Source organism: Homo sapiens, chromosome 1 (genome assembly GCF_000001405.40).
Source record: "Homo sapiens chromosome 1, GRCh38.p14 Primary Assembly".
Taxonomy (NCBI): domain Eukaryota; kingdom Metazoa; phylum Chordata; class Mammalia; order Primates; family Hominidae; genus Homo; species Homo sapiens.
Genome location: NC_000001.11, coordinates 45,286,234 through 45,309,544, shown reverse-complemented (window position 1 = coordinate 45,309,544; position 23,311 = coordinate 45,286,234). Strand labels below are relative to the sequence as shown.

The window sequence follows — 23,311 nt, the reverse complement described above, 5'->3', positions numbered from 1 at the left end:
GGGAGCCCAAGGCAGGTGGATCACTTGAGGTCAGGAGTTCGAGACCAGCCTAACCAACATCATGAAATCCCGTCTCTACTAAAAATACAAAGATTAGCTGGGTATGGTGGCGTGCGCCTGTAATCCCAGCTACTCAGGAGGCTGAGGCAGGAGAATCGCTTGAACCCGGGAGGCAGAGGTTGCCTTGAGCTGAACATCCCTCCTTCTTAAACAATTAGTCATTTTATTTTAGGACTAAATTTACCATTCAATATTTTTTTTTTTTAGTAAGTGCTTTTTTTTTTTTTTTTTGAGATGGAGCCTTGCTCTGTTGCCCAGGCTGGAGTACAGTGGTGAAATCTCGGCTCACTGCAATCTCCACCTCATGGATTCAAGCAATTATCCTGTCTCAGCCTCCTGAGTAGCTGGGACTACAAGCGCATGCTGCCATGCCTGGCTAATTTTTGTATTTTTAGTAGAGATGGGGTTTCACCATGTTGGTCAGGCTGGTCCAGAACTCTTTACTTCAGGTGATCCACCCACCTTGGCCACCCAAAGTGCTGGGATTACAGGCATAAGCCACTGCTCGCAGCCACCATACAAGATTCTTTCTCGTATAACATTATTTCTCTTTAAGCTTTCTTACCATAAAAAACCTTTTTTTTTTCTGTCTTTACATCTCTTTTTATTTCCTGGTTTCTTTTACCTTGTTTTATTCACAACCTTAAAATAATCTTTGAATTAGACAAAACTTTTTCACCTTTTTTAAGAAAGTTCACACTTTTTAAAATCAAGAATGTTTTCCTATATTATATATTTTATTGGAAAATACCCAAATAATGAAATATCTATTAATTTAACTTTATATTATAAATTAAGACAAATTTGTCTGCCAGTATTTATCCCATTACATTTACCTAATTTTTTTATTTTAATGGTTTACCTAGATTATGAAAACCACAAGTCATGATTTTTTTTTTTTTTTTGAGATGTAATTTCGCTCTTGTTGCCCAGGCACCTGTAATCTACTGTAATCTCCAGTAGCTGGGATTACAGGCACATGCCACCACAGCTGGCTAATTTTGTATTTTTGGTAGAGACGGGGTTTCTCTATGGTGGTCAGGCTGGTCTTGAACTCTTGACCTCAGGTGATTTGCCTGCCTCATTCTCCCAAAGTGCTGGGATTATAGGCGTGAGCTACTGCACCCAGGCCCAAAAGTCATGATTTAAAGTTATGAAACCGCTGGGCGTGGTGGCTCATGCCTGTAATCCAGCACTTTGGGAGGCCGAAGTGGGCAGATCACCGGAGGTAAGGAGTTCAAGACCAGCCTGGCCAACATGGTGAAACCCCATATCTCCTAAAAATACAAAAATTAGCTGGGTGTGGTGGCGGATGCCTGTAATGCCAGCTACTAGGGAGGCTGAGGCAAGAGAATCCCTTGAACCAGGGAGGCAGAGGTTGCAGTGAGCCGAGATTGTGCCACTGCACTCCAGCCTGGGTGACAGAGTGAGACGCCATCTCCAAAAATAAAATTAAAAAATAAATAAAGTTATGAAACTGCCATTGCAAAATTATAACTGAGACAGTGAGGAAGATATGACCTAACTGACTCCATCTTGCTTCTAAACTCCAAGCTGTCGTTGTTCATTCCTGGACTTTGGGAGAAATTTAGTTTATAGTTTAGCTTTGAAACAAAGATGGTAACAGTCCTTTCCCAAAACAAACCTACCTACCATCTGTGGATTAGACTGCCTAAAGCCACAAAATTAGAGGTTATGGTAATTTTACTAAATAATTCAAGATATAACTACATTCATTAAACCAATATCAACATCTTATTTGTTAAAGGTTACACAAGCAAGATCATTCTGTCTTGGGCTGCGTTTATAGTTTTGTTACCCCTATGCCAAATTTTGACACCTTATAATATTTGGCAGGGATGAGTATGAAATTGCTTCATTAATACATGCAAAGAAAAATGTAGGCGGGCAATTCTTAAGATGTTTCTAATATTACCTTACCATTAATTTTAAAGCAAGCTTATTTATTAAAGATTTTACTTAAGTTACATAAACTTGAAAGAGCATTTCACTAGTCTTTTGTAGTATATGATTTAAGCGCTTTTCATTGTTTTAAGCCAATTAATTAGCACTCTTTTATATATTTTTAGTAGTGAAACACTGTGTACACAACACATAAATACACAGACATATTAGGCATGCTTTAGAACTACATTTTACAGATTTATGAAAACCTTTTTTTCCCCTATATTAGACTTTCAGATTCTTGATGACCTATTTCATAACCCTGGGCAGTTTTCAGCTAAATAGCCTTAAATTTGCATATTAAAGGAAACAACTTAGGTGAAAGTCAAATAGCAAAATTTACATTATAAGGTCGGAGAGAAAACGTTTGGTGTGCTAGAGGGAAATTAAAACAGATTTAATTGCCAATTAAGCATAAAATCGTAGAAATTATAAAGGCCTTTTAAATATATATACACACACACATAGACACACACATAAACAAATATCCTATAGCTTTTACTTCAGAACTTTTAGCCATGAGATAAACACAAATTCACCACCCTGCAAAAAGAACTTGTTGGATGCAGTGGTTTTTATCTTAATAGAAAAATAACAGCAGATTTAGAGCAGGCAGAAAAGAAAAAAATCGAGAAAAAGAGCACTTAGGAACTCTATAATTTGCAGGTCGATCTTAGGGCTCTTTTTCCTTAATGTAAATGTGCACAAAGACCATATTATTTCCATTTTACATAAACTTTGGCAAGTAGATGTGCCATACAACCTATGGAGTGCTGGAAAGGGGGTCATTCTCTTTGTTTCCTCCTCATTCTTATATTGTTTCCCAATTTTTTTTTCTCTCTTAATAGGAGGAACTGAGCTGTGGCCCAGGTTTTTTGATTGCTATGTGCTGCTTGTGGGCAGGATGCTACAGTGTGTCATCGCTGAGTCGTTTCCACCCTCTTACATGTCTCAGTTTCTCTCTCCAGAGGTTTATGACCCCAGAAAAGGCTCAAAAGGCTGGGCGATCAGCCCTTATATGCGTTTCCTGGATGAGCCATTTTTAAAATTAATTTTTGTTGGGGATTTCCCTCCAGGGCCGCTGCACGTCGCAAGGGGTTAACCCCCCCAGAGACTCCCATGAGGCCCCCAGTCACCTAGGGGCGCTTTCAGCTGGGAGGAGTAAATGCCTTTTCTCTTCAGAGCTGAGAAAACTGTCATTAACGTATGAAAACAACAGTTCACTTCTTCACGCAAATGCACACAGACAAACCGAATTAAGTTTAAATTTGGGAGAAAAAGCAATAGAGAAGACCCTTTAGAATGCATCTCTGAACAAGAATTAGGATCCTTAAACAACAACTTCAGACTGGAACAAAGCAACAACAACAAAAAAACCAACAATATGATCACTGAGCGCTCTAATGGTAAGGAGAAATTAAGACCAGCTGGTTGTTAATCTTAACTTTATCCAAGACAAACCCCAATTCAGTTACCTATCTAGGGATGGGTCTCAGGCCGAAGGCTGCTTTCTACCATCCTAGAAGCAGGAAAAAAACAAAAAACAAACTCATCTTCCCTGTTAGAAGTGAGCTCAGACTCCATAGGAGTTACCTGCATTCCATTGTCATGGAAGCAGGAGAAAAGTTGCCTTCCTTGTGTTGGAAGCAAGTAAAACTCTAGAAAAAGAGGAGTTGTACAGCAAAATAAACTTTAGATCTTGACTAAATTTTGGGAGATCAGGGATTCTCTGGACGGGGTACTCTCAGACCTCAGCAAATTGTCCTATTGGTTTGAGCCATAAAGTTAGCTCATGCTGGTACCATGCACCAATGGGAGATTTGTCAAAAGTCAGGGGCATCTCCACTCAGAATCCCTCAATGATTACCAAAATGTGAACCCTGAAAATTTGAGACAGGTCTCAGTTAATTCAGAAACTTTATTTTGCCAAGGTTGAAGATGCGTGCCCGTGACACAGCCTCAGGGAGTCCTGGCGACATGTGCCCAAGGTGGTCAGGGCACAGTTTGTTTTCATACATTTTAAGGAGACATGAGACATCAATCGATATATGTAAGAAGTACGTTGGTTCCGTCCAGAAAGGCGGGGACAACTCGAAGTGGGGAGGGGGCTTCCAGGTCGCAGGTAGCTGAGAGACAAATGGTTGCATTATTTTGTTTCTGACAAGCCTCTCCAAAGGAGGCAATCAGGTATGTGTCTATCTCAGCGAGCAGAGGAGTGACTGAATAAAATGGGAGGCAGGTTTGCCCTGAGTAGTTCCCAGCTTGACTTTTCCCTTCAGCTTAGTGATTTGTGGGGCCCCAAGATTTCCCACAAGTGAAAGGAAAATATCTCAATCCCCCGCCCCAAATCACCAAGCTCAAAGGAAAATTCAGGTTGGGAACTGCTCAGGCCACACCTGCCTCCCATTCTATTCAGTCACCCCTCTGCTCATGATGAACAGGATGCTGCTGAACCCTGGGGTCGCTGGGGCCTTAAATGACTTTGATGATGAGAGACTGGGCATGGAGAGCTAGAGGCCCTCATCTCCCTTCCCCAGCGAGTCGGAAGCGTCCCCATTACTAGTTCCTAGAATATGCTGAGATGTCTCAGGTTGCGGTGTGCAGCTGGGAGTTGCAGCCTGGCAGGAGGCCCAGGTTTTAGCCTGTGAACCGGGGCCCTGCTATGTAGGCCAGGGTGGCTCTGACCTGGCACTCTGTGGGGCCAGGGCAGACATAGCAGCAAAGGCCATGGGGTCACAAAGAGAGAGACTGCAGAAGGATCAGGAGTAACAGGCATAATGGGGCTATTCTTCCCTAGGCCTGAACACTGGGAAGGCACTGGCAGGGCCCCGGTTTTGATGGTGGATTCTTGGAGTAGGGGCCTTGGTAATAGGGCTCTGAGTGCTGGGGCAGAATGGGCTATCTTGACCCTTCATAGTCAGGGTCCCAAGTGGGCAATCCTGGAGCCTCCAGGTCTTTGGTCCAGCGGCGGGGTTTTCCACTCAAGGGCCACAGGTACAGACAAGCAGAGCAGAAACAGCCCCCCCGGCCTTTCACTTCCCACCTGCTCCCGAGGGAGAGAGTAAGGTTTCTGGGGGTAAGTGGGGGCTATCTGAAAGAAAAGGGTGATTTTGGCTGGGGCTCGGTGCCCTACAAGAGCCCTTGCTTGACTTTGACGCAAGGCACAGACTGGGCTCTGAAGGGGCAGGCTGGGGGGTAGACGTCGTCATGGATGTTGGATCTCCCTTCCGGCCATGGCCCAAGTACGACCCCTGTTCCCTTAAAGTCAGGACCTCGCAGAACTTTCGCAAGATGGGTCCTCGGAGTCTGCCCGCGATTGCGCTCCCAAGGGGTGCCGCTGCCGAGGGTAGGCGCGCCAGTCGAGATCAAAGCGGATGGGATGACGCCACTGGAGGGCGCGCGGGGCCGCGGGGCAGGGTGGTGCTCCTGCTGCAGGTTTCAGGCCTCTTCTGCCTTCTACAGCCGCCAGGTCAGCAGAGGCGGAGGCCCGGGCTGTGGATGGCCGAGGAGCCGAACTCGTGAAGCCACGTTCCTCCTGCAGCTCTTAACCCAGGCGCGGCGGCTCGCCGGGCCGCTCCCCTTACTCCGAAACCGTGAGCCTCAGCCCTTCCCTCTCTCCCCAATCCCAGGGGGCGCCGGCGGACACCCCAGAAACCCACGCGCTCTCGTTCCTGGTCCCGCCCCCTCTACGTTCCCTCCCCCTCTACGTTCCCTCCCCTTTTCCTTCCAGAGGCGGCGGCCCCGGAAGCTCCCGCCATTCTGGACCCGCCCCCTCCAAGCTCCCGCCCCTTTCCCTTCCTGTGGAGGCGGCCTCGGAAGCTCCCGTCTTTCTGGACCCGCCCCTTCCCCACCCTGCTCCGCCCTCGGCCCCGGCCCCCGCTCCGAGCTCCCTTAGCTCTAAGCGGTTCCGGAAGCTCCCGCCTTTCTGGACACGCCCCTGCCTCCCCCACAGGATTCCGACTCTCTCCCGGCTCGTCGAGGGCTTGACATTTTACCGGGGGGTGGCCCAGAAAAACCTCGTAGAGATGGTGACTTTAAAAAATTCTTTTTCGGCTAGGTGCGGTGACTCACGCCTGTAATCCCAGCGCTTTGGGAGGCCGAGGCGGGCGGATCACTTGAAATCACGAGTTCGAGATCCGCCTGGCCAACATGGTGAAACCCCGTCTCTACAAAAATACAAAAATTAGCCGGGCGTAGTGGCGCAGGCCTGTGGTCCCAGCTACTCGGGAGGTTGAGGTGGGAGGATCGCCCGAGCTGGGGGAGGTTAAGGCTGCAGTGAGCTGTGATCGCGCCACTGCACTCCAGCCTGGACGACAGGGCAAGATTGTGCCTTAAAAATAAAAACTTGTTTTGGTAAAATACACATAATATTTACCATATGTACTTTTTTTTTTTTTTTAAATGGAGTCTGGTTCTGTTGCCCAGACTGGAGTGCAGTGGCACACCACTGGGTTCAAGCGATTCTCGTGTCTCAGCCACCCATGTAGCTGGGATTACAGGCATGCGCCACCACGCTGGGCTAATTTTTGTCTTTTTAGTAGAGATGGGGGTTTCTGCCATGTTGGCCAGGCTGGTCTGGAACTCGTGGCCTCAGGTGATCTGCCTGCCTTGGCCTCCCAAAGTGCTGGGATTACAGGCTGAGCCACCGTGCCCGGCCCTACCATGATTTTTTTTTTTTTTAAACAGAAGTCTTGCTCTGTCGCCCAGGCAATGGCACGATCTCGGCTAATTGCATCCTCCGCCTCCGGGGTTCAAGTGATTCTCCTGCCTCAGCTTCCAGAATAGCTGGGATTACAGGCACCTGCACCATGCCCAGTTAATTTTTGTATTTTTGGTAGAGAGGGAGTTTCGCCATGTTGGCCAGGCTGGTCTCGAACACTTGACCTCAGGTGATCACCTGCCTTGGCCTCCCAGAGTGCTGGGATTACAGGTGTCAGCCACTGCGCCCAGCCTACCATGGTATTTTTAATGGCCACGTAATACCCTGTGTGTGTTATATTGTGTGGATGTGTTATATTAATTTAACCAGCCCCCTATTGATTAACATTGTAGCTGTTTATAAAATGGTGTAGTAAACATCCTTTCTGTAGGTCTTTGTGCACATATGGAGTATATTTGTAGGCTGATTTCTTGGAAGTAGAATTGTTGGGGTAAAAGCTATGTGTGTGTTTAATTTATGATTTTACCTATTTACCCTCCCACTAGTGACTTGTTTAGCTACATTTATTCAAATTGTCTGCACTCGCTTTCTCCACAACCTTACCTCCTACTCACTCCACAACTCATTCTAATTTGGCTTCTCTCTATCACTGCACCTTCAAAGGCTCTAAGGTCACCAATGATCTTCATGTTGTCCTATGGACAATCTTCAGATCTCATTTCACTGCTTCTCTAAAAGACTTCATACAGTTGACCATTCTCTCCTTTGTGAAACATTCTTCTCCCAGCTTTCATAGTGCCACATTCGCCTGGTTTTGCTCTAGCCATGTTGTCTTTCCTCTGCCCACTCTGAAATGTTGGTGCTGCTCAGAGCTTTGGTTACCATCTACATGCAGTTGATCCACACAGTGAAGTCTCCCTTCCTAACCTTTATTCAACTGCTTATTTGTCATCTTGAGTTGAATGTCCCACAGGGACCTCAAATCAATCATACCCAACATTATCCTCCCCCTTCTCATGCTCCCATCTCAGTAGCTGTTCCACTGCTCTCCTAGCCAGAAACCTACAGGTCTGGTTACTTGAATGTCCCTATTCCTCAATGCGCACCTCTAGTCAATCACCATGGCCCTGCCCATTCTATTTCCATAATCCTTTTCCCTTTTTTTTTTCTTTTGAGACAGGTTCTCGCTCTGTTGCCCAGGCTGGAGTGTAGTGGTGCAATCATGCCTCACTGTAACCTCAACCTCTCCAGCTCCTCCTGCCTTAGCCTCCCGAGAAGCTGGGAAGCTGGGACCACAGACACACCACCATGCCTGGCTAATTTTCCTTTTTTTTTTTTTTTTTTTTTTGAGACGGAATCTCGCTCTGTCACCCAGGCTGGAGTGCAGTGGCGTGGTCTCAGCTCGCTGCAAGCTCCGCCTCCTGGGTTCATGCCATTCTCCTGCCTCAGCCTCCTGAGTAGCTGGGACTACGGGCGCCTGCCACCACGCCTGGCTAATTTTTTGTATTTGTAGTAGAGATGGGGTTTCACCGTGTTAGCCGGGATGGTCTCAATCTCCTGACCTTGTGATCCGCCCACCTCGGCCTCCCAAAGTGCTGGGATTACAGGCGTGAGCCGCTGCGCCCGGCCAATTTTCCATTATTTCTTACCAACGGTCACCTTTCTTTTCCTCCCTTTGTCCCCACCACCTTCTGTACCACCTGGACACTGCAATGATATTCTAATTCTAATTGCCTCCCTGGCTTTAGGCTTGCTACTCTTTTTTTTTTTTTTTTTTTTTTTTTGAGGCAGGGTCTCACTTTGTACCCCAGGCTGGAGTGCCCTGGCGTGATCTCAGTTCGTTGTGGCCTTGACCCCCTGGGTTGAAGTGGTAGGCTTGCTACTCTTTAAACCAGCTTCCACCCTGTAGCCAGAGTTAACTTTGAGAAATGCAGATCTAATTATGTTACTATCCTGCTTTTTAAAACCTTTCAATAAGTTCTGATTGCTCCTAGGGTAAAGACAGAAACTTTTTCCATGGTTGATTAGGCTCAGACAAACTCTCCAGCTTTTTTTGGTTACCGCTGTCCCCTTCTCCATGCCATAATTTGTTTCTTGAAGGTTTTCTGTTCCTTCGCACTCAGGGCTTTTTTCTTTGCTGTTTTCTCCATCCTGGAATGCTCTTTCTTTCCCTCTCACCTTAACCTGGCTAACACTTTTTCAATCACCAAGCCTCAGCATAAATTTCACTTGCTTGCGGATGCCTTCCAAGACCCCTGAGACTTATGCCCAGTGTTGAGAGCACAATAAATATATGAATATGTTTATTCACATTACATATATGAATATATGAACCACAATAAATGTATGAACGAACCACTTACGGGCCAAGTGGGTGATTCTTAGGCTGCAGTTTTTTCATATGACCTGTAGATGTCATCATTGGCCTCAGCTTAACTCAGTCTAGGCTGAGTGGTCCCCAGCCTGGTGTGTTCATCCAGCAAGTTGGAAAGGTTGTCGAAAAGCCCAGCTTCTTCCCACAAGGTCTGATACCTTTCCATCTGTCCTGGCCAGCTGCCTTGATAGGGTGACCAACCATCCCAGTTTTCCCAGGACTGAACTTTCAGTGTTCCAAGGACAAGGAATTTTCAGTGCTAAAGCTGGGATAATCCCAGGCAGGTGGGAGAGTTGGTCACCCAACCACAGTCAGAAGAGCCAAAACTCCCATATCTGACCTGGAGCAAGGTCTATGCCCAGCAAGAGGGCTTAGCTTCAACCCAGCCAAGCCCCTCACAGCAACATCTGTGGTGGGCAGACCCTGCATGCAGCCTGGTGATTGTAAGAATTAAGAGAGAAACAGTATTTACACTGTAAATAAATATAAAGAGACTCACCTTTGCCAGGCAATCGCTACCATTTAGTGAGTGCCACTGGGTATAACACACTTACACATATTGTTTCTAATCCTTATAGAAATCCTAAGAGTACAGTTTACTCCCTTTTTGGAAATGAGAAAACTGAGACTCAGAGATTAAGTAACCAGCCCAAGTCACACAGGTGTTAAGTGGTGAAATTCAAACCCATGTCTGTTCAACCACAGAGCTCCTGTGATTTTCCCTGAACCTGCAGCCTGGCCATTTTTCTGCTGCTCTAATCTTCATTTGGGAACCCAGGGATATGAATGGGAAGCAAGAGGCAGGTGTGGGTGGAAGGGGTTGAGGAAGGGGGCCTGTGATCAGGGCTTGGGGAAGGGGATGGGCACATGGCATTGACAGCTTGCTTGTCCTTTCATGAGTGGGCTCTGCCACCTTGAGCTAAATGTGGACATAGCCTGGGGACATCCAGGGAGGCTCCTTCATGGGCCCTTATTCTGACACCAAGTTGGGTTCTAATTGAGGAGCCAGGGCTATGTTTCCCAGAGTCCAGGATGGACCTAGCCCACTCTCATATGATTGCAAAGGGACTTCTGGACATGGGAGAGCACGAGAGTTAGCCATAAACTGGAGGGACAAGTGCTGGGTGGGGGCTGTGACCAGGGTCATGCTCAGTGAATGACTGCAGTTAATTGTATAGCCAGGCTTCTCTCCTTCCCAGGGACATTGTAAGGCTGAGTTTTATTTTGCCCAGGCAGTCACTTAGGAATTGAGCTGCTTTTGAATAGTGAACAAAAGTTGCTTTTGTACAGGTATGGACCAAGGCCTGACTGTGATGGGCAGTGGCCTGGCAGCCAGATGTCCCCTCCACAGGAAGTGTAATAAGCCAGACTCTGGGATTCCTTCATATTAAAAAACAAAATACAAACATCCTTCAGGAATCTTAAGTTCCCTAGCAGGGAGCTGCTATTGAAATGCAGTGGGCTTTAGGCTGTGCAGGTTCACTGCATTTCCTTGACTCTGTCCAAGAGTCTTAGGGTGCAAAAATCTGCCAAGGCCACCTTGGCCCCAGACCTACCCAGCCCCTGTGTCTGGTGTGACCCATTGCCCTGTGGTGTGGCCAGTTTCTGCCCTGTGGCTCCACTCAGCTAGCCACATCATCGGACAGGTGGAGCTTGAGCAAGTCCTCATCAGAGCTGGGTCATGTCTCTGTCCTTCCACAGCTGGCCTTCCATCTTCTATCAGAGAACTGGGCCTTGCACATTCTAGGGCAGGCTGAGCATAATGCAGGGCTGGAGTGGACAGAAACGACTGATGATGCTGCCTTGTACTCGGGACTCCTGTGTCCTTCATTCTGAAAACACCTAGTGTGTTCCAACTGTGACTAAAGGGAAGAGGGAACTGTGAGACAGTCATCAACAGTGTACCCTTACACTGACCTGGGGCTTCTTGCCAGAAGCTCATGGAAGACAGTCACCTGGTGCGGTGGAAAGCACAGGACTTTATAGTCAGACACAACTGGGTTCTGCTATTTTCTTGGTGGGTGACCTTGGGAAAGTTACTCAACCTCTCTGAGTCTTGAGTTCCTCAACTGGTAAATAGGAATAATAATATCTATGTCACAAGTTTGTTTTGAGGTCTAAATTTGCTGATCAATGTCTATAAAAATGTATATAAAAATAAAATATTCATTGAGTGCTTATGATGTGGCAGGCCATGTTGAAGTGCTTTCTAAGCATGGTGTGAACTCATATACCCTATGAGCTGTGTACTTTCATTATCTGTGCTTTACAGATGCAAAGATTGAGAGAGGAGAGCTTGAGTAACTTGCCCGAGGTCACAGAGTTAGTAAATAGCAGAGCCAGGATTTGGACCCAAGCACTTAGGCTCTAGCTCACACATACTAAGCTACCAAACCATGGTGCCATATGGAGTAGGGCTGAATAAAGACTAGCTATTATGATTATTGTAATTTAGCATTAAGTGCTTTTTATATCCATGGTGCTAAGTGTTAATTATTAGCATATTTTGATGCAACATTTATCCTTTTTGTTCCTATTTTTCCACAGCCATGGCAACAAAGGGCCTTGTGCTCACTCTAGCAGAGCGTCCTGCCTTTGTCTGTGATCCAGCCTGGTGCGTCAGTCTTTGCAAACAAAAGATGTGACCACCCGGCCGCCTATCCCTGCCCCCACCAAAGCAGTAATGGAGGCTGAGGCCTCTCCAGTTGAGCCGAGCCAGGAGAGCAGCAGACAGGTACAGATCAGCAGGCCAGGAACAGGGCTCACAAAAGAGAGGTCGTGCTTAATAAACCTGACTAATTTCTTGGAGCGGCAACAATGCCAAGTGGACAGAGGTGAAATGAGGGACAGTAACTCAGTAACTCATCCTGATTCCGAGGCACAGAAGCACAGCTAAAATCAACAGAGAGAGTTTGTGGAGATGCTGCTGGGGCCTGAAAGGGTCTGGTGGGGCTCAGTTCTGGGGGAAGATGGATGGAAACTCAGTGAGGGTAAGAGGTACCTCTGAGCAGGGACAGAACACAGGCTGCCCAAGCTACCTGATTGAAATGTAAAGCTGACTAGGACGCTTTCCTGCTTAGATCCCATCCATTGGCCTCCCACCACCTAAATATCATAATCATGTGGACAATAATAACTGTAGTTATTTGATATTTACTATGTATAGGGTGCTTTACAGAGGAAGAAACTGAGCCATAGAGCTTAAGTAACCTGCCCAAAGTCAAACAGTTATTAATACACAACTGGGACTTCAATCCAGTTTACTGTCACAGGCTGACCCAACTACACTTTGGGTCCATCTGTAACTGTATTTGATGGCGGTCCCTTCCATCAGACAGGAAGCCCTTCTGCAGCAGGAGCCGTAACTGATTCGGTGTCTGCCTCTGTAGCCTTCCAGTTGAGCTGGATTTCCAGCTCAACTGAAGCGCCTAGGTCCTCTGTGCTTCTCCCTCTGAACACTCTCTGGGTGAGCTCATCCATGCTTTCAGCTTCAATTCCCACCTCCCGGAGGAAGACTTCTAGAGAAGGCATAGGGTTGACTCCCTAAGCACTCTTCCACCCCACATGATTGATCTTAGCCCATCACATTCATTCCATCCTTCTTGCCAGTAGTTGGTTTAGGAATGAAGATATGCTCCAGCCCTGCTCAGTGAGATGAAAGGGACCGTCTTAGTCAGTTCAGGCTGCTATAACAGAATACCATAGACTGGATGGTTTAAACAATACACATGTATTTCTTACAGTTCTGGAGGCTGGGAACCAAGATCAAAGGATGGGAAGATTCGGTGTCTGGTGAGGGCCTGCTTCCTGGTTCATTGACTGTCTTCTTGCTGTGACCTCACTTGGCAGAAAGAGGGCTAGAGAGTTCTCTGGGGGCCAGGCACTGTGGCTCACACCTGTAATACCAACATTCTGGGAGACCAATGCAGGAGGATTGCTTGAAGCCAGGAATTCAAGACCAACCTGGGCAACATAGTGAGAACCTGTAGTTCCAGCTACTTGGGGGCTGAGGCAAGACCATCACTTGAGGCCAGGATTTCAAGGCTGCAGTGAGCTATGATAGTGCCACTGCACTGCAGCCTGGGTGACAGAGCAAGACCCTGTCTCTAAAAAAATAAAAACAAAATAAGAAGAGAGTTCTTTGGGGGTCTCTTTTGTAAGGGCACCAAACACCTAATCACCTGACCTAATCGCCTCCCAAAGGCCCCATCTCCTAATACATACCTTGGGGGTTAGGATTTCAACATAAGAATGTTGGAGGACACAAACATTTATTCCATAATAAGGACGTTTGCTGAAGGCCTTCTGGGAAAGGTTTCCTCACCCCTAGGTGAGAGTGATGTAAACAGAAGTATCTCTTTTTCCCGGGAATGTTGTTAAGTCTGAAGGTGTCCTGGAACTGCTGCAGCTGTTTTGCTAACACCTGAGGATGGAGCCAACAGTAAAGGTGGCAGAGCGGAGAGATGGAAGGAGTCTTTGCCTTTAAGGGCACTCGATCTGCCAACCCTGGAGGCCACACTAACGCTGAATTTCCTCACACAAGGGAAATTAAACATTGTCACTGTTGGAGCCATTGCCAGTGGGTTTCTGTTATAGCAGAAAGCATGTTTATTGTTACAAACAGAGCAGCATTCAGACTTTTGTGGGCCCCTTCCTATGTAAACTTTTTATTTATTTATTTTTTTGAGACAGAGTCTCGCCCTGTCATACAGGCTGGAGTGCAGTGGCGCGATCTCAGCTTACCACAACCTCCGCCTCCCGCGTTCAAGCGATTCTCCTGCCTCAGCGTCCTGAGTAGCTGGGACTATAGGCACACGCTACCATGCCTGGCTAATTTTTGTATTTTTAGTAGAGATGGGGTTTCACTATGTTGGCCAGGTTGGTCTTGAACTCCTGACCTCGTGATCCACCCACCTTGGCCTCTCAAAGTGCTGGGATTACAGGCCTGAGCCACTGTGCCCGGCCTGTAAACATTTTTTTAAAGTTATATTTTATGACTGCATTAGCACAAAGATAAATTATATTAATATTATTTATTAAAACATCTTCTTTGCCAGGCGCAGTCAAGCCTGTGGTCCCAGCTACTTGGGAGGCTGATGCAGGAGGGTCACTCAAGCCCAGGAGTTTGAGGCTGCAGTGAGCTATCATCAAGCCACTGCACCCCAGCCTGGACAACAGAGCAACTCTGTCTCTTAAACAGGCTGGGTGCAGTGGCTCACGCCTGTAATCCCAGCACTTTGGGAGGCTGAGGCAGGCAGATCACTTGAGGTCAGGAGTTCGAGACCAGTCTGGGGAACATGGTGAAACCCCGTCTCTACTAAAAATACAAAAATTAGCTGGGTGTGGTGGTGTGCACCTGTAATTCCAGCTACTTGGGAGGCTCAGGCAGGAGAATCACTTGAATCCAGGAGGTGGAGGTTGCAGTGAGCCATGATCATGCCATTGCACTCCAGCCTGGGTGACAGAGCGAGACTCTATCTCAAAAACAAACAAACAAACAAACCAAAAAACTTTTGACTTAAAAGTTTGTTTTTTCTTCTGATTTAAAGGGAATTGTATTAGGGTGCTCTTGCACTGCTAGAAATTCCTCCAGCCTGGGCAACATGGAGAAACCTCATCTCTACCAAAAATTACAGAAAAATAAAAAATTAGCCAGTTGTGGTGGTGTGTGCCTGTAGTCTCAGCTGCTGGGGAGGCTGAGATGGGAAGATTTCTTGAACCCAGGAGGCGGAGGTTGCAGTGAGCTGAGATTGTTCCACTGCACTCCAGCCTGAGTGACAGAGCAAAATCCTGTCTCAAAAAAAAAAAAAAAAAAAAGAAAGAAAGAAAGAAAAAGAAATACCTGAGACTGGGTGATTTGTAAGAAAGGAGTTTTGGCTGGGCATGGTGGCTCATGCCTGTAATCCTAGTACTTTGGGAGGCTGAGGCAAGAGGATCACTTGAGCCCAGGAGTTTGAGACCAGCCTGGGCAACATGGCAAGATCCCATCTCAATTATTTAAAAAAATGAAAAAGAAAAACAAAGAAAAGAGGTTGAATAGGCTCATGGTTCTGCAGGCTGTACAGGAAGCATAGTGGTATCTACTTCTGGGGAGGCCTCGGGAAGCTTCCAATCATGGTGGAAGGTGAAGGGAGAGCAGGCCCATCACATGGTGAAAGCAGGAGCAAGAAGGCGGGGTGGGGCGGGGGAGGTGCCACACACTTTTAAATGACCAGATCTTGCAAGAACTCACTCACTATTGTGAAGACAGCACCAAGAGGATGGTGCCAAACCATTCATGAGAAGTTCACCCCCATGATCCAATCACCTGCCACCAGGTCCCACCTCTAACACTGGGTATTACAATTTGACATGAGATTTGGGTGGGGACAAACATCCAAACCATATCAGGAATTAAAGCATTTTTGTCAGCCCTAAAAGTCCTGGGGCACTCATGTCTCTACTGTGCTTAGCGGATGGGCTGGTCCTGGTTACAGCTCCCAAATATGTACTCAGGCCCACACCTCTGTTTTGACCTTCGAGCTCCCATGTCCAGCTGTCTTTTGGATAGTTCCCCTTTGGTGTCTTACTCAAATCCAACATGTCTCAAGCTGAACACAGTTTCCCCCAAATCTTTTCTTTGCCCAGCATCCCCTATCTGAGTGAAACATGTACCACCCAGCTAGTTGCACCAGCCAGAAACCTGGACCTCAACCTCTCCCTCACCCTGTAGCCGTGTCCAGTCACCAAGTGCTGCCAATTTTCTCTCTTACATGGCTCTTGAAAGCATCCACTTCTTTCCATTTTCACTTCTGTCTCTACTGCTGTTGTCCTAATCCGCGTTACCAGCGTCTCTTGCTTGGATTACCACCGTCTCTTGCTGGGATTACCACCATGGACACTAATGGTCTCCCTGCCTTTCACTTGCCCTGCAATCATTTATCTACACTGTCCCAGAAGAATCTTTTCCAACTGCTTAAAACCCACTGATGACTTTACTTCATTATTTCTCTGTTTAAATCCAGCTGATGGCTTCCTGTTGCTCTTATAACAGAGATCCAAAACTTCAAGGAGGTCTCCAAGGCCTTGTCTAGCCTGGCCTCTGCCCCTCTTGCTCTGCTCTCTTACCCAGCTTCAGCTACATGATCTTCTCTCAAACACACAGGCTCCCTCCTGGCACAGGACCTTTGCACATGATACTCATCTTAGTCCGTTTGAGCTGCTATAAGAAAATACCATAGACTGGGTAGCTTATAGAACAAAAGAGCTTTATTTCTTACAGTTCTAGAGGCTGGGAACTCCAATATCAGGGTGCTGGCAAATTTGGTGTCTGGTGAGGGCCCTCTTCCTGTTCACAGATGGCGCCTTCTTCCTGTGTCCTCACATGCTGGGAGGGCACACAAGCTCCCTTGAGCTTCTTTAATATGAGCACTAATCCCATTCATGAGGAACCCTCATGATCTAATCTCTCCCAAAGCCTCCACCCCCCAATACCTTTCACCTTGGCAGTTAAAATTTTAACATATGAAACTTAAGGGACACAAACATTCAGACCATAGCAATATTCTTCTATTTTCTACTCCTTCAGCTCAAAGCTTCTCAAGGAAGCTTTCTCTAGTCTAGGTCAAGTATCATTAACTATGTGGCATTAGGCAAGTTTCTTTTATTTATTTATGTATTTAATGAGACAGGGGCCTTCCTCTGTCGCTTAGGCTGGAGCGCAATGATGCGATTGTGACTCACTTCAGCCTTGAACTCCTGGGCTTAAGTGATGCTCCTGCCTTGGCCTCCCAAGGTGTTGGGAATACAGGTGTGAGCCGCTGTGCCTGGCATAGGGAAGTTTCTTTACTGTGTGGTGCCTTCGTTTTCTCATCTGTAAAATGAAGATATAATAATGCCTAACTCACAGGTTTGTTGTGAGGATTAAATAGAATGTCACATGGGAACTGCTGTGAGGGTAGCTGGTGCAGTGCCTGCTTGCCTAGTTGTCCTGGCCCCTGGCTAGCTCTCTAGAGGGGGAAAGTGGTGGAGAGATCCCTCCCAATTAACACTAGCTGGAGATGTTGGGCTGATACAGGTTCTAAAATGTGAGGATTTCAGGGAAGAGCATCTCTACAAGGGCACAGAAGATTTCTGAGTTACCTGAGTGAAAGCAAAGAGCTAATTGTGCCAGAGAGTCATTGACAATGCCTGGGGTTGGGCTAGGGTACTCGGAGAAAGAGGTCAAGAGAACTCACAAAGGTCAGGGAGAGAGAGGAGGTGAGTGGGAGTACACCACATTTCTGTCAAATCTCTGAGTAGCCCAGAGCCCTGGAAGGAAGGGCCCTGGTTGCCACAGGGTCTCTATGTCAAGAAAACCTGGGCTGTCATCCCTAGCCTGTCATTTATGAGCTGGAGGAGGGGGAAAGTCATGTCACTTCTCTGTGTTTCAGTTTTCTTACCTATAAAATTGAGCTAATGATTGACTTTGTGGGGTCGGTGGGAGGATTAAATGGGGCTATAATAGTTTGCTGGGGCTGCCTAATGGCTTGAGCTGAGACGTTGGTCTTCTCTGGCCCTTAGACTGGGACTTACACCATCAGTGCTTCTGGTTCTCAGGCCTTTGGACTAAAGCTGAAATCTATATCACTGGCTTTCCTGGGTCTCCAGCCTGCAGATAACAGATCATGGGACTTTGCAGCCTCCATAACTGTATGAGCCATTTCCTTATAATAAATCTCATTGTACTCTCTCTCTCTCTCTCTGTATATATCTGTGTATATATATATATATATATATATATATATACACACACACACACACACACACACACATACATACACACACTATGCCAGGCCATGTTTTGTTTCTTCTGATCTACAGACGATTAATTGCCTATTTAATATTGATTTTTTCCCTTCTTAGTTAGGGAAAATTTGCTGGCCACATGTCTAGAGGAAAAATTTTACATTCTAACCTGTCTTTTAGATAGGGTGGCCAATGAGCTATAAGCAGTAAGGCTTCCAGAAAAGCCCTTTAACTTTAACTTTAACTTTCATCTTCCTGCCCAGAACTATGATATGATGGCTGGAGTGCCAGTAGCCACATTTTAACCTTGAAGATAGAAGCTGCTTAAAGAATGGTGAAGCACAAAAATAGAATCCTAGGTGACTTTCTAGAGCATACCAGTCTTAGACTGCCTGCCTCTGGAATTCTCTTATGTACAAGAATAAATTTGTACAAGCCATCATAGTTAGATCTCTGTTACTACTCACCAATTACAATCCCTAATAAATAAACATGTCGCCTTTCTGCCGACTCAGCCTAGAGTTCCAGGAACTTTTTTTTTTTTTTTTAAGACAGAGTCTTGCTCTGTCATCCAGGCTGGAGTGGAGTTTGCAATCTTGGCTCACTGCAACCTCTGCCTCCTGGGTTCAAGCAATTCTCGTGCCTCAGCCTCCCGAGTAGCTGGAATTACAGGCATGCACCACCACGCCCGGCTAATTTTTGTGTTTTTAGTAGAGATGGGTTTCACTATGTTGGCCAGGCTGGTCTCAGACTCCTGACCTCAGGTAATCTGCAGGCCTTGGCCTCCCTCCCAAAGTGCTGGGATTATAGGTGTGAGCCACCATGGCCGGCCTCTAGGAATTTAAGTGGGCATTTCTATGAACATCCAATCATTCCTGAAGAAAAAAGGTGCTTATTATACCATATGGTGTAAGAACAAAGATCACTTACTTTTTTTTTTTAATGGAGTCATATATATATATATATATATGTCTATGTCTATACACACATATTTTTTGTCTGATTTCTTTTTTTTATTATTATTATACTTTAAATTTTAGGGTACATGTGCACAACGTGCAGGTTTGTTACATATGTATACATGTGCCATGTTGGTGTGCTGCACCCATTAACTCGTCATTTAGCATTAGGTTTAGCTCCTAATGCTATCCCTCCCCCCTCCCCCCATCCCACAACAGTCCCCGGTGTGTGATGTTCCCCTTCCTGTGTCCATGTGTTCTCATTGTTCAATTCCCACCTATGAGTGACAACATGCAGTTTTGGTTTTTTGTCCTTGCGATAGTTTGCTGAGAATGATGGTTTCCAGCTTCATCCATGTCCCTGCAAAGGACATGAACTCATCATTTTTTATGGCTGCATAGTATTCCATGGTGTATATGTGCCACATTTTCTTAATCCAGTCTATCATTGTTGGACATTTGGGTTGGTTCCAAGTCTTTGCTATTGTGAATAGTGCCGCAGTAAACATACGTGTGCATGTGTCTTTATAGCAGCATGATTTATAATCCTTTGGGTATATACCCAGTAATGGGATGGCTGGGTCAAATGGTATTTCTAGTTCTAGATCCCTGAGGAATCGCCACACCGACTTCCATAATGGTTGAACTAGTTTACAGTCCCACCAACAGTGTAAAAGTGTTCCTATTTCTCCACATCCTCTCCAGCACCTGTTGTTTCCTGACTTTTTAATGATCGCCATTCTAACTGGTGTGAGATGGTATCTCATTGTGGTTTTGATTTGCATTTCTCTGATGGCCAGAGATGATGAGCATTTTTTCATGTGTTTTTTGGCTGCATAAATGTCTTCTTTTGAGAAGTGTCCATTCATATCCTTTGCCCACTTTTTGATGGGGTTGTTTGTTTTTTTCTTGTAAATTTGTTTGAGTTCATTGTAGATTCTGGATATTAGCCCTTTGTCAGATGAGTAGGTTGCAAAAATTTTCTCCCATTCTGTAGGTTGCCTGTTCACTCTGCCGGTAGTTTCTTTTGCTGTGCAGAAGCTCTTTAGTTTAATTAAATCCCATTTATCAATTTTGGCTTTTGTTGCCATTGCTTTTGGTGTTTTAGACATGAAGTCCTTGCCCATGCCTATGTCCTGAATGGTAATGCCTAGGTTTTCTTCTAGGGTTTTTATGGTTTTAGGTCTAACGTTTAAGTCTTTAATCCATCTTGAATTAATTTTTGTATAAGGTGTAAGGAAGGGATCCAGTTTCAGCTTTCTACATACGGCTAGCCAGTTTTCCCAGCACCATTTATTAAATAGGGAATCCTTTCCCCATTGCTTGTTTTTTTCAGGTTTGTCAAAGATCAGATAGTTGTAGATATGCGGCATTATTTCTGAGGCCTCTGTTCTGTTCCATTGGTCTATATCTCTGTTTTGGTACCAGTACCACGCTGTTTTGGTTACTGTAGCCTTGTAGTATAGTTTGAAGTCAGGTAGCATGATGCCTCCAGCTTTGTTCTTTTGGCTTACGATTGACTTGGCAATGCGGGCTCTTTTTGGTTCCATATGAACTTTAAAGTAGTTTTTTCCAATTCTGTGAAGAAAGTCAGTGGTAGCTTGATGGGGATGGCATTGAATCTATAAATTACCTTGGGCAGTATGGCTATTTTCACGATATTGATTCTTCCTACCCATGAGCATGGAATGTTCTTCCATTTGTTTGTGTCCTCTTTTATTTCATTGAGCAGTGGTTTGTAGTTCCCCTTGAAGAGGTCCTTCACATCCCTTGTAAGTTGGATTCCTAGGTATTTTATTCTCTTTGAAGCAATTGTGAATGGGAGTTCACTCATGATTTGGCTCTCTGTCTGTTATTGGTGTATAAGAATGCTTGTGATTTTTGCACATTGATTTTGTATCCTGAGACTTTGCTGAAGTTGCCTATCAGCTTAAGGAGATTTTGGGCTGAGACAATGGGGTTTTCTAGATATACAATCATGTCATCTGCAAACAGGGACAATTTGACTTCCTCTTTTCCTAATTGAATGACCTTTATTTCCTTCTCCTGCCTAATTGCCCTGGCCAGAACTTCCAACACTATGTTGAATAGGAGTGGTGAGAGAGGGCATCCCTGTCTTGTGCCAGTTTTCAAAGGGAATGCTTCCAGTTTTTGTCCATTCAGTATGATATTGGCTGTGGGTTTGTCATAGATAGCTCTTATTATTTTGAGATATGTCCCATCAATACCTAATTTATTGAGAGTTTTTAGCATGAAGAGTTGTTGAATTTTGTCAAAGGCCTTTTCTGCATCTATTGAGATAATCATGTGGTTTTTGTCGTTGGTTCTGTTTATATGCTGGATTACGTTTATTGATTTGTGTATGGTGAACCAGCCTTGCATCCCAGGGATGAAGCCCACTTGATCATGGTGGATAAGCTTTTTGATGTGCTGCTGGATTCGGTTTGCCAGTATTTTACTGAGAATTTTTGCATGAATGTTCATCAGGGATATTGGTCTAAAATTCTCTTTTTTTGTTGTGTCTCTGCCAGGCTTTGGTATCAGGATGATGTTGGCCTCATAAAATGAGTTAGGGAGGATTCCCTCTTCTTCTATTGATTGGAATAGTTTCAGAAGGAATGATACCAGCTCCTCCTTGTACCTCTGGTAGAATTCGGCTGTGAATCCATCTGGTCCTGGAGTTTTTTTGGTTGGTAAGCTATTAATTATTGCCTCAATTTCAGAGCCTATTATTGGTCTATTCAGATATTCAATTTCTTCCTAGTTTAGTCTTGGGAGGGTGTATATATCGAGGAATTTATCCATTTCTTCTAGATTTTCTAGTTTATTTGCGCAGAGGTGTTTATAGTATTCTCTGATGGTAGTTTGTATTTCTGTGGGATTGGTGGTGGTATCCCCTTTGTCATTTTTTATTGTGTCTATTTGATTCTTCTCTCTTTTCTTCTTTATTAGTCTTGCTAGCAGTCTATCAATTTTGTTGATCTTTTCAAAAAACCAGCTCCTGGATTCACTGATTTTTTGAAGGGTTTTTTGTGTCTCTATTTCCTTCAGTTCTGCTCTGATCTTAGTTATTTCTTGCCTTCTGCTAGCTTTTGAATGTGTTTGCTCTTGCTTTTCTGGTTCTTTTAATTGTGATGTTAGGGTGTCTATTTTAGATTTTTCCTGCTTTCTCTTGTGGGCATTTAGTGCTATAAATTTCCCTCTACACACTGCTTTGAATGTGTCCCAGAGATTCTGGTATGTTGTGTCTTTGTTCTTGTTGGTTTCAAAGAACATCTTTATTTCTGCCTTCATTTCATTATGTACCCAGTAGTCATTCAGGAGCAGGTTGTTCAGTTTCCATGTAGTTGAGAGGATTTGAGTGAGTTTCTTAATGCTGAGTTCTAGTTTGATTGCACTGTGGTCTGAGAGACAGTTTGTTATAATTTCTGTTCTTTTACATTTGCTGAGGAGTGCTTTACTTCCAACTATGTGGTCAATTTTGGAATAGGTGTGGTGTGGTGCTGAGAAGAATGTATATTCTGTTGATTTGGGGTGGAGAATTCTGTAGATGTCTATTAGGTCTGCTTGGTGCAGAGCTGAGTTCAATTCCTGGATATCCTTGTTAACTTTCTGTTTCGTTGATCTGTCTGATGTTGACAGTGGGGTGTAAAAGTCTCCCATTATTATTGTGTGGGAGTCTAAGTCTCTTTGTAGGTCACTAAGGACTTGCTTTATGAATCTGGGTGCTCCTGTATTGGGTGCATATATATTTAGGATAGTTAGCTCTTCTTGTTGAATTGATCCCTTTACCATTATGTAATGGACTTCTTTGTCTCTTTTGATCTTTGTTGGTTTAAAGTCTGTTTTATCCGAGACTAGGATTGCAACCCCTGCCTTTTTTTGTTTTCCATTTGCTTGGTAGATCTTCCTCCATCCCTTTATTTTGAGCCTGTGTGTGTCTCTGTACGTGAGATGGGTTTCCTGAATACAGCACACTGATGGGTCTTGACTCTTTATCCAATTTGCTAGTCTGTGTCTTTTAATTGGAGCATTTAGCCCATATACATTTAATGTTAATATTGTTATGTGTGAATTTGATCCTGTCATTATGATGTTAGCTGGTTATTTTGCTCGTTAGTTGATGCAGTTTCTTCCTAGCCTTGATGGTCTTCACAATTTGGCATGTTTTTGCAGTGGCTGGAAGTGGTTGTTCCTTTCCATGTTTAGTGCTTCCTTCAGGAGCTCTTTTAGGGCAGTCCTGGTGGTGACAAAATCTCTCAGCATTTGCTTGTCTGTAAAGTATTTTATTTCTCCTTCACTTATGAAGCTTAGTTTGGCTGGATATGAAATTCTGGGTTGAAAATTCTTTTCTTTAAGAATGCTGAATATTGGCTCCCACTCTCTTCTGGCTTGTAGAGTTTCTGCCGAGAAATCAGCTGTTAGTCTGATGGGCTTCCCTTTGTGGGTAACCCGACCTTTCTCTCTGGCTGCCCTTAACATTTTTTCCTTCATTTCAACTTTGGTGAATCTGATAATTATGTGTCT

General features: G+C 45.0%; 2 long non-coding RNA genes across 2 annotated transcripts, besides 5 other annotated features; one reads left to right on the top strand and one right to left on the bottom strand.

Annotated features, from left to right (window-relative positions):
• Positions 2,953-3,132: an enhancer, noted in NCBI's record as "active region_962". NCBI's record gives its function as "activates an Ori minimal core promoter by ATAC-STARR-seq in GM12878 lymphoblastoid cells {active_cell/tissue: GM12878}" and the evidence as "EXISTENCE:reporter gene assay evidence [ECO:0000049][PMID:35858748]".
• On the bottom strand, positions 3,926-5,635 carry LINC01144 (long intergenic non-protein coding RNA 1144). Its single transcript, NR_024270.1, has one exon. It is a non-coding gene; the product is annotated as a long intergenic non-protein coding RNA 1144 (long non-coding RNA).
• Positions 5,303-5,542: an enhancer, noted in NCBI's record as "active region_961". NCBI's record gives its function as "activates an Ori minimal core promoter by ATAC-STARR-seq in GM12878 lymphoblastoid cells {active_cell/tissue: GM12878}" and the evidence as "EXISTENCE:reporter gene assay evidence [ECO:0000049][PMID:35858748]".
• Positions 5,733-5,912: a silencer, noted in NCBI's record as "silent region_828". NCBI's record gives its function as "represses an Ori minimal core promoter by ATAC-STARR-seq in GM12878 lymphoblastoid cells {active_cell/tissue: GM12878}" and the evidence as "EXISTENCE:reporter gene assay evidence [ECO:0000049][PMID:35858748]".
• LOC105378691 (uncharacterized) lies at positions 5,799-13,733 on the top strand. The gene is made up of 3 exons (XR_947287.4): positions 5,799-6,053; positions 11,607-11,793; positions 12,803-13,733. It is a non-coding gene; the product is annotated as an uncharacterized LOC105378691 (long non-coding RNA).
• Positions 6,003-6,062: an enhancer, noted in NCBI's record as "active region_960". NCBI's record gives its function as "activates an Ori minimal core promoter by ATAC-STARR-seq in GM12878 lymphoblastoid cells {active_cell/tissue: GM12878}" and the evidence as "EXISTENCE:reporter gene assay evidence [ECO:0000049][PMID:35858748]".
• Positions 9,014-9,308: a silencer, noted in NCBI's record as "tiled region #9521; HepG2 Repressive non-DNase unmatched - State 8:EnhW, and K562 Repressive DNase unmatched - State 12:CtcfO". NCBI's record gives its function as "represses a minimal TATA promoter and a strong SV40 promoter by Sharpr-MPRA in HepG2 and K562 cells {active_cell/tissue: HepG2 | K562}" and the evidence as "EXISTENCE:reporter gene assay evidence [ECO:0000049][PMID:27701403]".
• Positions 13,734-23,311: the final 9,578 nt, after the last annotated feature.